Genomic DNA, 14,273 nt, shown 5'->3' with positions numbered 1-14,273 from the left:
AAATCTATCCATCTGACAAAGGTCTGTTATCCAGACTCTACAAAGTACTTAAACATATTTACAAAAGAAAAACAACCCCATTAAAAAGTGGGCAAAAGGCATGAAGAGACACTTTTCAAAAGAAGACATACATGCAGCCAACAAACATGAAAAAAATGCTCAACATCACAGATTATTAGCGAAATGCAAATCAAAAACCACAATGAGATACCATCTCACACCAGTCATGGCTATTACTAAAAAGCTAAAAAATAGCAGGTACTGGTGAGGTTGTGGAGAAAAAGTAATGCTTATACACTGTTGGTAGGAGTGTGAATTAGCTCAGCCATTGTGGAAAATAGTGTGGTGATTCTTCAAATAGCTGAAGACAGAAATATCATTCAACCCAGTGATTCCATTACTGGGTATATACCCAAAGGAATATAAATTTTTCTATTATTAAGACACATGTTCACTGGAGCACTATTCACAACAGCAAAGACATGGAATCAACCTAAATGTCCATCAGTGATAGACTGGGTAAAGAAAATGTGGTACATATACACCATGGAATTCTATGCAGCCATAAAAAGGAAGAAGATCATGTCCTTTGCAGGGACATGGATGGAGCTGAAGGCCATTATCCTTAGCAAACTAATGCAGGAACAGAAAATGAAATACCTATGTTCTCACTTATAAGTGGGAGCTAAATGATGAGAACACATGAACACATGGTAGGGAACAACATGCACTGGGGCCTGTGGGAGGGCAAGGGGTGGGAAAGGATCAGGAAAAATAGCTAGTGGATGCTGGGCTTGATACCTGGGTGATGGGATGATCTGCGCGCAAACCACCATGGCACACATTTACCTATATAACACACCTGCACATCCTGCACATGTACCCCTGAACTTAAAATAAAAGTTGGAAATAAAAAAAAGAGAGAGAATTATTGCACCTGGGTGTCGACCACCTGAGAGTCATAAGATAACACTATTGGTAAATACTAGATATAAATATTATATTTATTTCTATTGGGAAAGAACTTTGCATTAATAAATGGAAAAAATGATCAGAAAGCATTAATAGAGAAGATTATGAGATGATTTTAGTTTTCTTGCTTTTTAAAATATATTTCTTTGCATTTCTGCAGGTGCTGTATATGTATATAAAATCAGGGGTTACTTTTACAATTGGAGGGGAAAAGAGACCTTTTCACTGAGTAGAATTTTTACTTATCCAATTTCGCAGGCCCTCCTTAAAGGGTCTCAATACATCTGCCTTCCCTAACTAGCATCATTCTCATCCTACTCCTTGGTCTAGTATACCCACTTCTCTTAGGTATTATTTACATTTACTAGGCCAATGTCCTTTCCCTCAGACCAGTCAAATAAATTATCAATATTAATGGGAGCTAATGAGTTAATAGGGTTAAGTTTTCCACAATCCTTCCACAACCCTAATGAACATACTTGGATTTTGATCATGGCTTCAGAAAACACACCCCAAATTTGGACTCTGTAGCTCTCATAGCCAGCCGGTGGGCCACGAAACAGTGGTGGAATCAGTGAATGCATTCTGGTTACTGATTGAAGATAACCAGAATGCATTCATTGATTTAGTAGGCCTACTCTGTGCTGGGGTAAACAATTAGTTCTATGGTATCAAATGAAAAGCCACAGCACAAAGGCAAATAGCAAATCCCCAGTTTACTCGCACACCCTTCTCAATCACCTTTGCCGACCCACTCATTCTCAATCCAGGAAGAGTAAAGAGGTCTTGGAGAGATAAGAAAAAGTACTGAGTTGCCCATTCTCTGCCATTAGGCACTATAGAATAATGCTTAAAAACTCTATTCAAACAGAGACAATATTTTATTGTGTTCTGTTGTGTTTTCCTCAGCACATCTTAAATCCCAAGGGACTAGCCCGATGGCTGTTTCCTTTTCCATACAATTTTGATGCCTTCCAGTGTCCATAAACTCTGAAATCTATTGTGCATGGAGCATGCACAATCTCTTACAGCAAGAAGAAAACCCAAATTAATAATCCCATTGCTTTAGAGCCTCCCAGGCTTCTTGTCAGTCCAAGAAAGACAGTAAAAAATACTGCTTTGGAAGGAAAAAAAAGCATGAATAGCAACTAATTTCTCATTTATACACTCAGTAGTTAGTTAAAGTAAAATTGTACTAATTCTTGGGCTGTGAACTACATTTTAGAAACCCAGGCCAAGGTTATTTCCACTACATTATGATTTGCAACTTTAGCGGCACATTGGAATCACCTGTAAAGCTATAATAATCACTGATCATCAATCATATTTGAAGAGATCCTAATTACATTGTTCTGGGTACAGCCTGTGCATGAAGAGTTTTAAAAGATGTCCAAGTGATTCCAATATGCAGCCAAACTTGTGAACAACTGATCACAGTGTGCTGCCTCTCCTAGTGACTAACTGCGAACAAAGTAGATTCCATCAACAGTGGACAAAGTCGATGGCACTCGCATTGCTCACCCCATTGGCCCCTCTCACCACTCACACACATGCAGATACATGTGTAACATGACCATTATTTTTATTTAACTGATGCCTGCTGTCTCCATTTAAAGTAGGATCCCTTGAATCATTTTTTTTTTTCTAGAACGTTTTTTTTTTTTTCTTTCTTTTCTTTTTTTATTATACTTTAGGTTTTAGGGTACATGTGCACATTGTGCAGGTTAGTTACATATGTATACATGTGCCATGCTGGTGCGCTGCACCCGCTAACTCGTCATCTAGCATTAGGTATATCTCCCAATGCTATCCCTCCCCCCTCCCCCCACCCCACCACAGTCCCCAGAGTGTGATATTCCCTTTCCTGTGTCCATGTGATCTCATTGTTCAATTCCCACCTATGAGTGAGAATATGCGGTGTTTGGTTTTTTGTTCTTGCGATAGTTTACTGAGAATGATGGTTTCCAATTTCATCCATGTCCCTACAAAGGACATGAACTCATCATTTTTTATGGCTGCATAGTATTCCATGGTGTATATGTGCCACATTTTCTTAATCCAGTCTATCATTGTTGGACATTTGGGTTGGTTCCAAGTCTTTGCTATTGTGAATAATGCCACAATAAACATACGTGTGCATGTATCTTTATAGCAGCATGATTTATAGTCATTTGGGTATATACCCAGTAATGGGATGGCTGGGTCAAATGGTATTTCTAGTTCTAGATCCCTGAGGAATCGCCACACTGACTTCCACAATCGTTGAACTAGTTTACAGTCCCACCAACAATGTAAAAGTGTTCCTATTTCTCCACATCCTCTCCAGCACCTGTTGTTTCCTGACTTTTTAATGATTGCCACTCTAACTGGTGTGAGATGGTATCTCACTGTGGTTTTGATTTGCATTTCTCTGATGGCCAGTGATGATGAGCATTTTTTCATGTGTTTTTTGGCTGCATAAATGTCTTCTTTTGAGAAGTGTCTGTTCATGTCCTTCGCCCACTTTTTGATGGGGTTGTTTGTTTTTTTCTTGTAAATTTGGTTGAGTTCATTGTAAATTCTGGATATTAGCCCTTTGTCAGATGAGTAGGTTGCGAAAATTTTCTCCCATTTTGTAGGTTGCCTGTTCACTCTGATGGTAGTTTCTTTTGCTGTGCAGAAGCTCTTTAGTTTAATTAGATCCCATTTGTCAATTTTGTCTTTTGTTGCCATTGCTTTTGGTGTTTTGCACATGAAGTCCTTGCCCATGCCTATGTCCTGAATGGTAATGCCTAGGTTTTCTTCTAGGGAATCATTTTCTTAAAGGACCAGATTGTAAATATTTTAAATTTTGCAGGCCATGCGGTCTCTGTAGCAATGACTCAAGTCTGCCATAGAAAATACATTCAAAAATGTGCCTGGCTGTATTCCAATAAAACTTTATTTACAAAAACAAACACTTAGGCGAGAAGCTAAAGTTTGCTCACCCCTGACTTAGAACCCCTAAGGCATATAAAGAAATTACTACATTTTTTTTTAAACTGGGACTGTAATGATTGTGATGACAGTGCTCTTTAGAATACAGTTGTTTCTCAATCCATATGTAGCTTTCCCCCACCACTCCACACACTTTCTTGTAGTCACAGGGCCTGAGTTCAAGTTTAGATTTTTGCCTTGTGATTAGAACTCCATTATAGTTGTCAGAGTGTATCTGCCTGCCAGAGGAGAGCCACTCTTTCAGAGCAGAAGCCATGGCTGCTCCCCAAAAGCCTATATCCACAAATGTTTATTACTGTTCTGATATCCCAACAGGGGTGTCTCTCCCTCTGGACACCGCTACCTTCTCCTCAGTGCCTGTATTGCATCATTTATCACTTTCCACACTATTGTGTTATGGGTTCTACACAAACCCTTTCACATCCTCTAGGCCCTTTGATTAGAACATCCTCCTGGGAGATAAGTAGAGCCAAGATGATCATCATCCAGATGTTAAGGTAAGAAAACTGAGGCTCAACAAACATTAAGAGACAAAATCTAGACTTGAACCCAGCCCCTGTACTGCAAGAAAGTGTGCTTAGTGATCGGGAAGCTGCATGCGGATTGAGAAACAGCTATATTCAAATACGCTTCGTAGTTTTACCAATTTTCTTAACTATAAAAATATGTATATTAGTAAATACTTACTTTGAAGGGTTATTTTGAGAGTTAGGAATTATATAATTAGTGTTCCTGGCATGAATACATGCTGAATAATAGCAGCTACCATTACTACTGCTATTGATACTGCTGTTGTTGCTGTTTATCCAGTATTCTTTTCATTTTGCATATGCTTCCATTTTCTGTTACATGCTTCATCCTGTTTTGTATAGTGCCTTTAGTTTACTAAGTGCTCAATTACTGCTGAATAAATTTAATTAATTAATTATTTCATCATATGGACCTGTGTTGAGAAGTTTCTTCCACCATTAGCCTTTTAAAAGTAATGAAAATATCCCCAAAGGAAGAAGAAAATTAGATGACTCCTTTCAAGAAAGATGGTATATAATGGGAATTTCCTTCTCAACTCAAAATGAATCTCCTTAGCCACATGTACGTGCCCAGAAACACTTTTGTTCACTTCTTTAAATAAAGGAACATAATCCCCAGCTAATTTCTCTTTTTTATGGAATTATTAATGCTTAAAAGTCAACACAATCAAAGCTGTCAGCAAAATTTCCTAAATTACTAAATATTCAACTTTGGCTAAGTCCTCAATAAAAATGATAGTTTTTTCCTGATTTGAAAATTTTCTTGGAAGATACCTCAAAATACTCCTGGAGAGTTCTAGATTGGGCCAAAAGTTCAGACTCAGAATCTGATGTGGAGATAGCTCATTCAAGCTCCCCAGTCACCTCTCATCTGTTCCACTAGAAAATCAGTGAATCAATTAAGATATACTGAGTCCCCACTTTGTATCACACTTTACTCGGCACTGAGGTGATACAAGAAGCAAAAAACATTTTCTATGAGTTCAAGCAGCTTATGATCTGCCGAGTAAGAACAGATGTAAACTTCTAAATTAGACTGTAAAATATGCTATAAGGCATTGGTTTAAAAGTGAGCAACAGTCCCACCTTCTCACCCCTCCCAGCCCATTACTACCCTTCCCAGCCTCTGGTAATCATTCTTCTACTCTCTATGTCCCTGAGTTCAATTGTTTTGATTTTTAGATCCCATAAATATGAGAACATGTGATGCTTGTCTTTCTGTGACTGGCTTATTTCACTTAACATAATGATTTCCAGTTCCATCCATGTTATTGCTTATTTCACATTGCATGTCTGTATCAAAACATCTCATATATCCCATAAATAATATACCTACTATGAACCCACAAAAATTAAAAATAAAAATAAAATTTTAAAAAATGGGCAGTATGGGTTAGGATAGGCAGAGAAAGCTTCTGAGGTTAAATCCCCAGATCTAGATTTCTAGTGATACACGTACTTACACTGAATACTAGAGGCTGAGTAGGCATTTGAGTCGGAGGGAGGAAGTAATTGCTAGAAAAGGAGAAAGAATCTTTTCCAGCTGTCTCAAAAAGGAGGCCTGAAGAGCAGGTTTGCGAAGGGTTCTGCTCCATGCAGTCATTCAGGGTTCTGTGGTGCCTTATAACTCCCCTCTTGCCTAAGCCTTCAGAGTCCTCTACATTCAGCCAGAGAGTGAGAGCTAAAAGAGAAAAGATCACATAAGGAAGAGTTTTATCCACACACGAAGTCTTTATTAGATAGAAAAGAGTGTGAATATTGGTGAACACTATGGCTTCTGCCAGAACTATCCATCATGTAAACAGGGGGAAATAAGAATATGCATTTATATTTCTTGTCATTTCAAAACTACACACTAGAAACTTAATCACAGTGAGCAAGGAAACACACAGTGACTAGGAACAGGAGTGGGAAACAGATTTTTAGTGTACATCTGTTAACACTGTATTTTTTTTAACTTTAATTTTAGGTTCAGAGGTACATGTGCTGGTTTACTATATAGGTAAATTGTGTCATGGGGGTTTGGTGTACAGATAAACGTTAAATTTTTGAACCACATAAATGCATTACCATTTCCAAAAATACAGCAACTATTAAAATGAAATTAAAGAAAACCTGGTGCTCACATTCATCCAAACATTTTGTCTTTTTTGGCCCTTCAGCAGCATCAGTTTTCTCTGTCGGATTCACTTATAATGTTTATTTTCACCGAGTTTTACTCGGACAAAATGGCGAGCAGATTTAATCAGGGGCAAGGGCCATATGGTAAGATCCATTCCTGGATTCTCAGCCCTATGGTATAAATCCCCCACTACCCCCAAGAGAAGGAATTGCAAGATCTAAGTATACAGCTGTGAGTTTCAGAAAAAAAATATTACAGCAAGGAAAACTTTGAAGAAGAACAGAATATAAATATTGAACCATGGTACCCTCTGGCATACACAAAGAGTCTTTAAAAGGGTAGCATTTGGGAAAGTAGAAGGATCAGGAATGACTTCTCATACCAGTCTACAAGAGAGAACTGTAATGCCAACCCATCTAGGGATAAAACTAAATCTCTAGTCATACTCAGTCACCAAAGATGAATCAGGAGAGTACATTATACAAATTGACCTTTGAAGTCAATCAATATACAAGCCAGAGCTCTACAACTAGATCCTAGAGTGCTTAGCTACTGCAGGTCTCCAAGAATTTTGAAGAACAGTCTCAAAGAGGAGAGATTAAACTTTTCCTGTGTGGTATCAGAGAACAGAACTGGAATCCTAGGTAAAAGTCCTAACGTCACATTTTGTTCCAAATTAAGAGGATTTAACATAGCTATCTAGAGATAGGATAGGCTACTTTGCCATTTTAAGGAGACAGTGACACAGAGCCATGGGGCTTATTGGTTGGAAGTGCTGTAGGAGCCTTTAGGGCTAGGTAGTCTCCAAGTCCATGTTAACCTCAAAGCCTTGTGACTCAGTGCCTAATGGATGACACTGGCACTGTCATTTTCTCTAATTCTCTCCCTCTCTGTGCGACTACCTGAACACTAGCGCGTGGAATGTGGTTTACACCAAGCAGTAAGTAGTACCCAAACACAATCATTGTCTCTGAAACAACAGCTTCAGGTGACTATGGCAAATGAAAAATAATGTCGTTATGCCTTTAATACACCTAACAGGTTAAGCCGAGCTCATATTTCAGTCTTTGTTTAGAAGACTCGGAAGCCATTTTAAAATTATTAATAGCTAATATTTATTGAGTTCTTACTATATATAAGCTAGGTGTGGTTAAATGTTTTTCATGTATTAAATCATTCAAACCTCTTGGAGTGGGTGGCCATTGAGCATGTGCTTAAAAAATAAGTAAGGTGCTGACAGGTCAATATACTGAGCAGATAGAAAATAATGCCCAGGTTCAAGTCCTGGATGAAACCAGTGTTGGTTCAGAGCAAGCTCCTACTAATGTCCACAAGTCCTCTATTGTACTGGAGAATTCTGTTTCAATATTCATCAGATGAAAGGTCATGTCTGCAGACATAAAAGATGTAGATTCATAAAATTCCTTCGGGTAATTTATCAACATGGAGCTCCAGGGAGAATGGAGTGAGCAGGTTTCCCTTAAAGTTAAGGACTTCAGAGAGGCATTTGGGATGCTGCATATAAAGGTTCTTCCAACTCTGTGAATTCATACGCTATATGGAATCTGTCCAATGGCCAGGCAAGCCCTTCCTACATAGTATGACTCTAGAAACTGAAAAATTCACCTGGATTAAAACATCACCTTTCTAGCTCAGCTCTCTGATGTCTATGGCATCAGATTTTTGCCTCACAATTTAGACTTTAGACCTGTCAACAGCTTAAGTGTAAGAAAATCCCTGTGAAATTTATAGATATATCAGTTGTTTTCACAAGAACAAGCTGTAAAGGAGGAAAGTAACAAGGAAAAAAAAAAAGAGAATGTTGGCCTCTGTGGAGGAGACAAAGCAGGAGGTTGGAAATGTAGAAACTAAGTATCCCTGAATCAAGTATCTGCATCAGGGTGGCCTGGGCCCATGAGGCAGCGCGCTGCATATTTAAGGCTCTTCAATTTATACCCATCCTTTTCTTCATAACCAGAACCCACTAGGCTAAGGAGTATTATGGAGCCAGCTCCAGAATCCAAAAGACCTAATCTTAAGCCAAAGGCCACGTTAACTAGTTGTGCTGTCCTGGGCAACTTGGGCTCTGCCCGCTAAGTTCCTCTTCTATAAAATGGAACTTTAAGCAGTTTGCCTGCCTTCCTCCAACAGATACTGAGAAGGTTAAGTAATATTTAGATTTAAAAAACACTTTGATAAGTAAAACAGCAACACACACATATAATGCATTATTGTTGTTTCTGTATTTCCAATCCTCACACTCAGAAAGGGTCATGGAGCTCATCTTATCTTGAGTCATGGAAGTCAAAGAAGTGAGTCATGGAGCTCATTTCCATGACTTGAAACTCACTTCCATGACTTCCATATCTTGAGCCAAGGAAGTGAGTCATGGAGCTCATCTTGTCTTCAGCATCTTTCAATAACACAAAGCTGCACTGGTCTGAATGTTTGTGTCCCTCAAAATCTATATGTTGAAACTTAACTCCCAAAGTGATGATATTAAGAGGTAGGACTTTGGGGAGGTAAGTAGATCATGAAGATGGAGCCCTCATTAATGGAATTAGTGTCTTTTAAAAGAGACCCAAGGGAGCTTGTTTGCCCTTCCAACCAAGTGAACACACAGTCCTGAAGTGAGCAAAGGTTCAGCCTATGAAGAAAGGGTCCTCACCAGACACTGAATCTGCCAATACCTTGATCTTAGAATTCCCAGCCTTCAGAAATAAATGTTTGCTATTTGTAAGCCCCCAGTTTATGGGATTTTGTTAGCAGCTCGAACAGACTAGGACAAAGAGTAAAATTTCTTCAAGACAAAAAGGTTTTGTTGTTGTTGTTGTTGTTTTATTGTTGTGATTTAGTTGTTTGTCTTTCTTGCTTAAATATTTCAACTCAAAAATTGTGAAACTTGAAGAGTGAATGAATACATGTCTCTGGTTGGGGAGATTTGATGTTTCATGTTGTTAACATTCTCCAAAATTCATTTTTACATTTAAGACCATTCTAGTTAAAACTCCAATGTCATTTTGAAGTGAGGAATAATTTAGAGGACTTACACATAACATATTAAATGAGGTCAGATGTGGTGTTTCATGCCTGTAATCCCAACACTTTGGGAGACCAAGGTGGCAGGATCACTTGAAGCCAGCCTGGGCAACAAAACAAGGCCCCATCTCCACAAAAATACAAAAATTACCTGAGCACAGTAGCGCTTGCCTATAGTCCCAGCTACTCAGGAGGCTGAAGCAGGAGGATTGCTTGAGCCCAGGAATTTGTGGCTGCAGTGAGCTGTGATCATGCCACCACATTCCAGCCTAGGCAACAGAGTGAGATCCTGTTTCAAAAAAAAAAAATACATATGTATAATATATATAAATATGCACATGAACATACATAATGGAATTAAAGAGCTACAATTACCTCACTAATAGGATACTGGTATAGGAATACAGAGATGGCCAAATGAAACAGAGAGGAAAACTCAAAAACAGAGCCACACACATGTAATAATTTTGTACATTAAAAATGAGGTGAGTGTGTTCCATTTTTAAAAATGAATCCATCTGCATACTTATATACAAACTCCTATAGAAATAGCTCAGTAGTGTTTTAGGGTAAGCATTTTAAATTAAAGGAGAACAAAAAATTCAAGAGTAAATAAAGGATATGGAACAATTAACTATTTTGAAAAATAAAAACCTAGATATTAGGTTTATATCATAATATCTATGGTATAAATTTATACCATATGCTGAAATAAATTAGCCCTTTAAAAATATGGTTGATGTTTACATGATATCAGGATGAAGACAAATGCAATATAGTAAAAGATGTACACATTGAATCCAACAACCACCACCAAATGATAAACTAAACTAAATTGAAGCAAAAATAGCAGGTAAACACTGCTACAAATCAAAAAGAAAAATCCAAATACTCCAAAAGAAAACTGGCCAACAGCTAACTATTGCATAAAACATTCAGTCTATTCCATAATTTTTAAAGTCAACTGAAATAATAAGAATGTAATTTTTTCTACCAAATTTGTAAATGTGTTATTTTCTTTTTTATTATAGTATCCAAATTTGGCTATGGTGTAAGGAAATACTCAGCTAGTGGGAGTATAAAAGGGTATAATATTTGGCAATATGTATCAAAACTCTTAAATCATGCATCTTTTAGATTATTTAAGCCACCAGATTCAAACCGTAGAAATTTATCCTGAATAAATAATCATAATAATGGAAAAGTATGTACGTATATATGTATATATGTGAAAGAGTGTTCATTGTATAACTATAGCTAATAAAGCCCATTAGAAATCATCTAAATATCCAAGAAAGTGGGGAGACCTATTATATAAATTAATACATTTACATAATCAAATATTATACAGCCAATAAAAAAAGTAATAAATATAATAACTATCATTTCTTGCCAGGCATTTTCCTAAGTACTTTTCATGTGTTAACTCATTTAATTTTCACAAAATCCTATGAAGTGTGTATTACTTATTCTCCTCATAAGAAAAAAAGGGCAAATAAGTTATTTTAACCTAGATCCATAGTCACCATATGGCAGGATGGAATTACGCAGTTAAGCAGTGTGGCTCCAGAGCCACTGCTCCTAACCCCTGTGCATACTGTCCATACTGTGGTGGAGAAATATGTAATGTCATAGGAAAATGCTTTGCTTACTTCAGAATGGTCTCTTTTCTGTAGCTCTTATTGTAGGCATGCCATGAGTGCTGTGATCAATGAATAGTATTTAGACACCAACAGCTGCCTTTGACTCGCACCAGAAGTCAAGGAGACTTCTCTTTCCCTCACCACCACCCCATTTAATCCAACAGGGAGTCCTGTTATCTTCACTTTCAAAATATGTCCCAACTTCAACCACTTTCCTTCTCCACTGATTCCACCCTAGAACAAGCCAGCTCTTACGTTCCCCTGAACAACCACACAACACCTCCCTAACTGGTCTCACTACCCTTACCCTTACCTCCTGTGATCCTTTCCACACAATAGCCAAAGAGATTTATGTTTTTTATTGATACATAATAATTGTAATGACCAAATATGGGTAATTAGGATACTCATCACCTCAAACCTTTATCATTTCTTTGTGTTGGGAGCATTCCAAATATTCCCTTCTGGCTACTTTGAAATACACAACAAATTACTGTTAACTATAGTCACCCTACAGTGCTGCTGAACAATAGAACTAGTTCCTTCAGTCCAATTACATTTTAGCGCCCATTAACAAACCTCTCTTCATTTCCTCCCACACCCCCTCAGCCTCTGGTAAGCATCATTCCACTCTCTACTTCTATAAGATCAACTTTTTTAGCTCACATATGAGTGAGAGTATGTGATATTAGCCTTTGTGGGCCTGGCTTATCACTTAACAAAATGAACTCCAGTTCCATCCATGTTGCTGCAAATGACAGGGTTTCATTCCTTTTAATGACTGAATAGTATTCCACTGTGTATGTGTACCACACTTTTTATCCATTTATCCATTGAAACAAAAAGATTAACATTTTTAATGTAATTCAGACTACATCACTCTCCTTTTCAAAACCATCTAGTGTCTTTACACAGATTCTTTACCATGACCCACAAAACTCTAGCATGCTGTGGTTCCTTTCTGCCTTTCTAACATCAAGTCATACCATATGTGTTTCCTATGTTCCAGCCATACTGGCCTTGTGTCTTAAACAAGTCCAGCTGTCTCCCATTTGGGGAACTTTATAGTTGTCACTCTTCTTTTCCCTAAACTTTCTCAGAGCTAGCTTCTTCTCATATTTCTAAGCTACAGCTCACATTTGATTTCCTTACAAAGGTCTTTCCTTAATGCCCAATTTTAAATACATCCCATTATTTTTTATCCCATCACACCACTTGATTTTATACTCATGTAAATTATGTTACTATCATATTTCTGTTTGTTTATGGTCTGCTCCCATAAGAACATAAGTTTCATGGCAGCAAGAACACTTCTTTTTTTTAACCACCAAATTCCCAGCACCTAAAATCGTGCCTGACCCTTAGCAAGAACTTTGTATGTTTTTTAATTGAACAAATGAGTGAGGGAGGGAATGAATGAATGAATGAATGAATGTGAATTTTTTTTTCTCTGGCAAGGGTAAAGTTAAATTCTGATGTGTAGAGAAAGGATCTATGTAAAGTAAAGCCAATGGGGAAAAATCGTGTCTCAAACTAGAAACAGAAATCAGGGTCTTGGGAGAGGAGCAAGGGGAGGAAGTACAGAGGAGAAAATTTCCCTTTTTATACTTCGTGATATAGTCATAAAGATATATAGGAGACAGCTCCTGGAATGTAATTGTTCGGATGTCCCTTCATGAAGATATTTCCAGGAACTATAGATATGATAAACTTTGTTTCAGGAACCTGAGAGGTTGTGGCCATTCTTTGAGGCTGAAGGGTAGCTATCTCAGACAGTGAATTACTTGAGTCAGATCGAGGGTGACCAACTCATCTCAGTTTATCTAGAACTATCCTGGTTTTAAAGCTGAAATTCTCATGTTCCAGTAACCCTCTCAGCCTCTGGCAAACTGGAACAACTGATCACTCTAGAAGATCAAAACGTTACACTGTACTTCATAAGAAAAACATTTTCCTATAGCTTTCCTCAGAGTTTGATGTATTTAAAAATCTGAGGAAAGATTTTCTGAACTGTACAGAAAGTAAGAGAGTATTTAAAGAGGACCATCTGATGGAGCCAGCGATTACAGTGAGAGCCCCAGGGGAAAAGTGACACATAAGGCAATAGAATGGATGCTTCTCAGCTTAGAAATTATTCTACCTATGTCAAATCTTGAAAATGTTTGCTAAAGAAAAAAATGCATAGAAGGAGGGAGAGAGAGAAGAAAACATAAATGACATGAATTTAAAAAGCACTTCTGGCCGGGTGCAGCGGCTCATGCCTGTAATCCCACCACTTTGGTAGGTTGAGGCTGGTGGATCACGAGGTCAGGAGTTCGAGACCAGTCTGACCAATTTGGTGAAACGCTGTCTCTGCTAAAAATATAAAAAATTAGCCAGGTATGGTGGCACGCGCCTGTAATCCCAGCTACTCAGGAGGCTGAGGGAGGAGATTCACTTGAACCTGGGAGGCAGAGGTTTCAGTGAGCCAAGATCGCACCACTGCACTCCAACCTGGGTGACAGAGTGAGACTCAGAAAAAAAAAAAAAAAAAGAGAAAGAAAGAAAGCACTTCGAACTGGCACTGACGAACCTCACTTGCTTTGAGTTGTTTTTCCAGCAAGGAAAATAGTTTGTGCCAGTGTACCTACCCTCTAGCACCAAGTCCCTCTTGTAGTCATGTTGCTCATAGCTAAGAGGTATCTCACAGTTTAAGACTCAATTTCAGTAGAAAACATATTTAATTAATTTCAACATATTTTCCAGATTAAACGTTAAAGTAAAATACAAATAGATGGAGATGCCATTTTTATTTCTGATCTTTTTGTATATGGCATCTTCTCTCCTAGTAGCTTTTAGAAAACTTCTCTCTGTCCACAGTATTCTTGGTCTTTTTTTCACTTCTTATGATAGCCATGACATGTACATCTTCAACCTGAAAAATCAGGTCCTTTGGATCTGGGAATTTTTTTTCAATCATTGATTGGGTAATTTCTTCTTCACTGTTTACTC

General features: G+C 37.9%; 1 protein-coding gene across 1 annotated transcript in view; it reads right to left on the bottom strand.

Annotated features, from left to right (window-relative positions):
* The window catches only part of TPRG1 (tumor protein p63 regulated 1), a 328,078-nt gene extending 314,603 nt beyond the window's left edge, over positions 1 to 13,475 (bottom strand). The window contains exons 1-2 of the transcript XR_001740120.3: positions 9,791 to 13,475; positions 5,942 to 6,159 (exon numbers count right to left, since the gene is read on the bottom strand). The gene's annotated coding sequence lies outside the window, so the exon portion shown is untranslated. The remainder of the gene's footprint in view (positions 1 to 5,941; positions 6,160 to 9,790) is intronic.
* Between the last annotated feature and the right edge of the window lie 798 nt (positions 13,476 to 14,273).

Source organism: Homo sapiens, chromosome 3 (assembly GCF_000001405.40).
Source record: "Homo sapiens chromosome 3, GRCh38.p14 Primary Assembly".
Classification (NCBI taxonomy): domain Eukaryota; kingdom Metazoa; phylum Chordata; class Mammalia; order Primates; family Hominidae; genus Homo; species Homo sapiens.
Note: the sequence above shows the minus strand (reverse complement) of the source record. Positions and strands in the feature narration are given on the sequence as shown.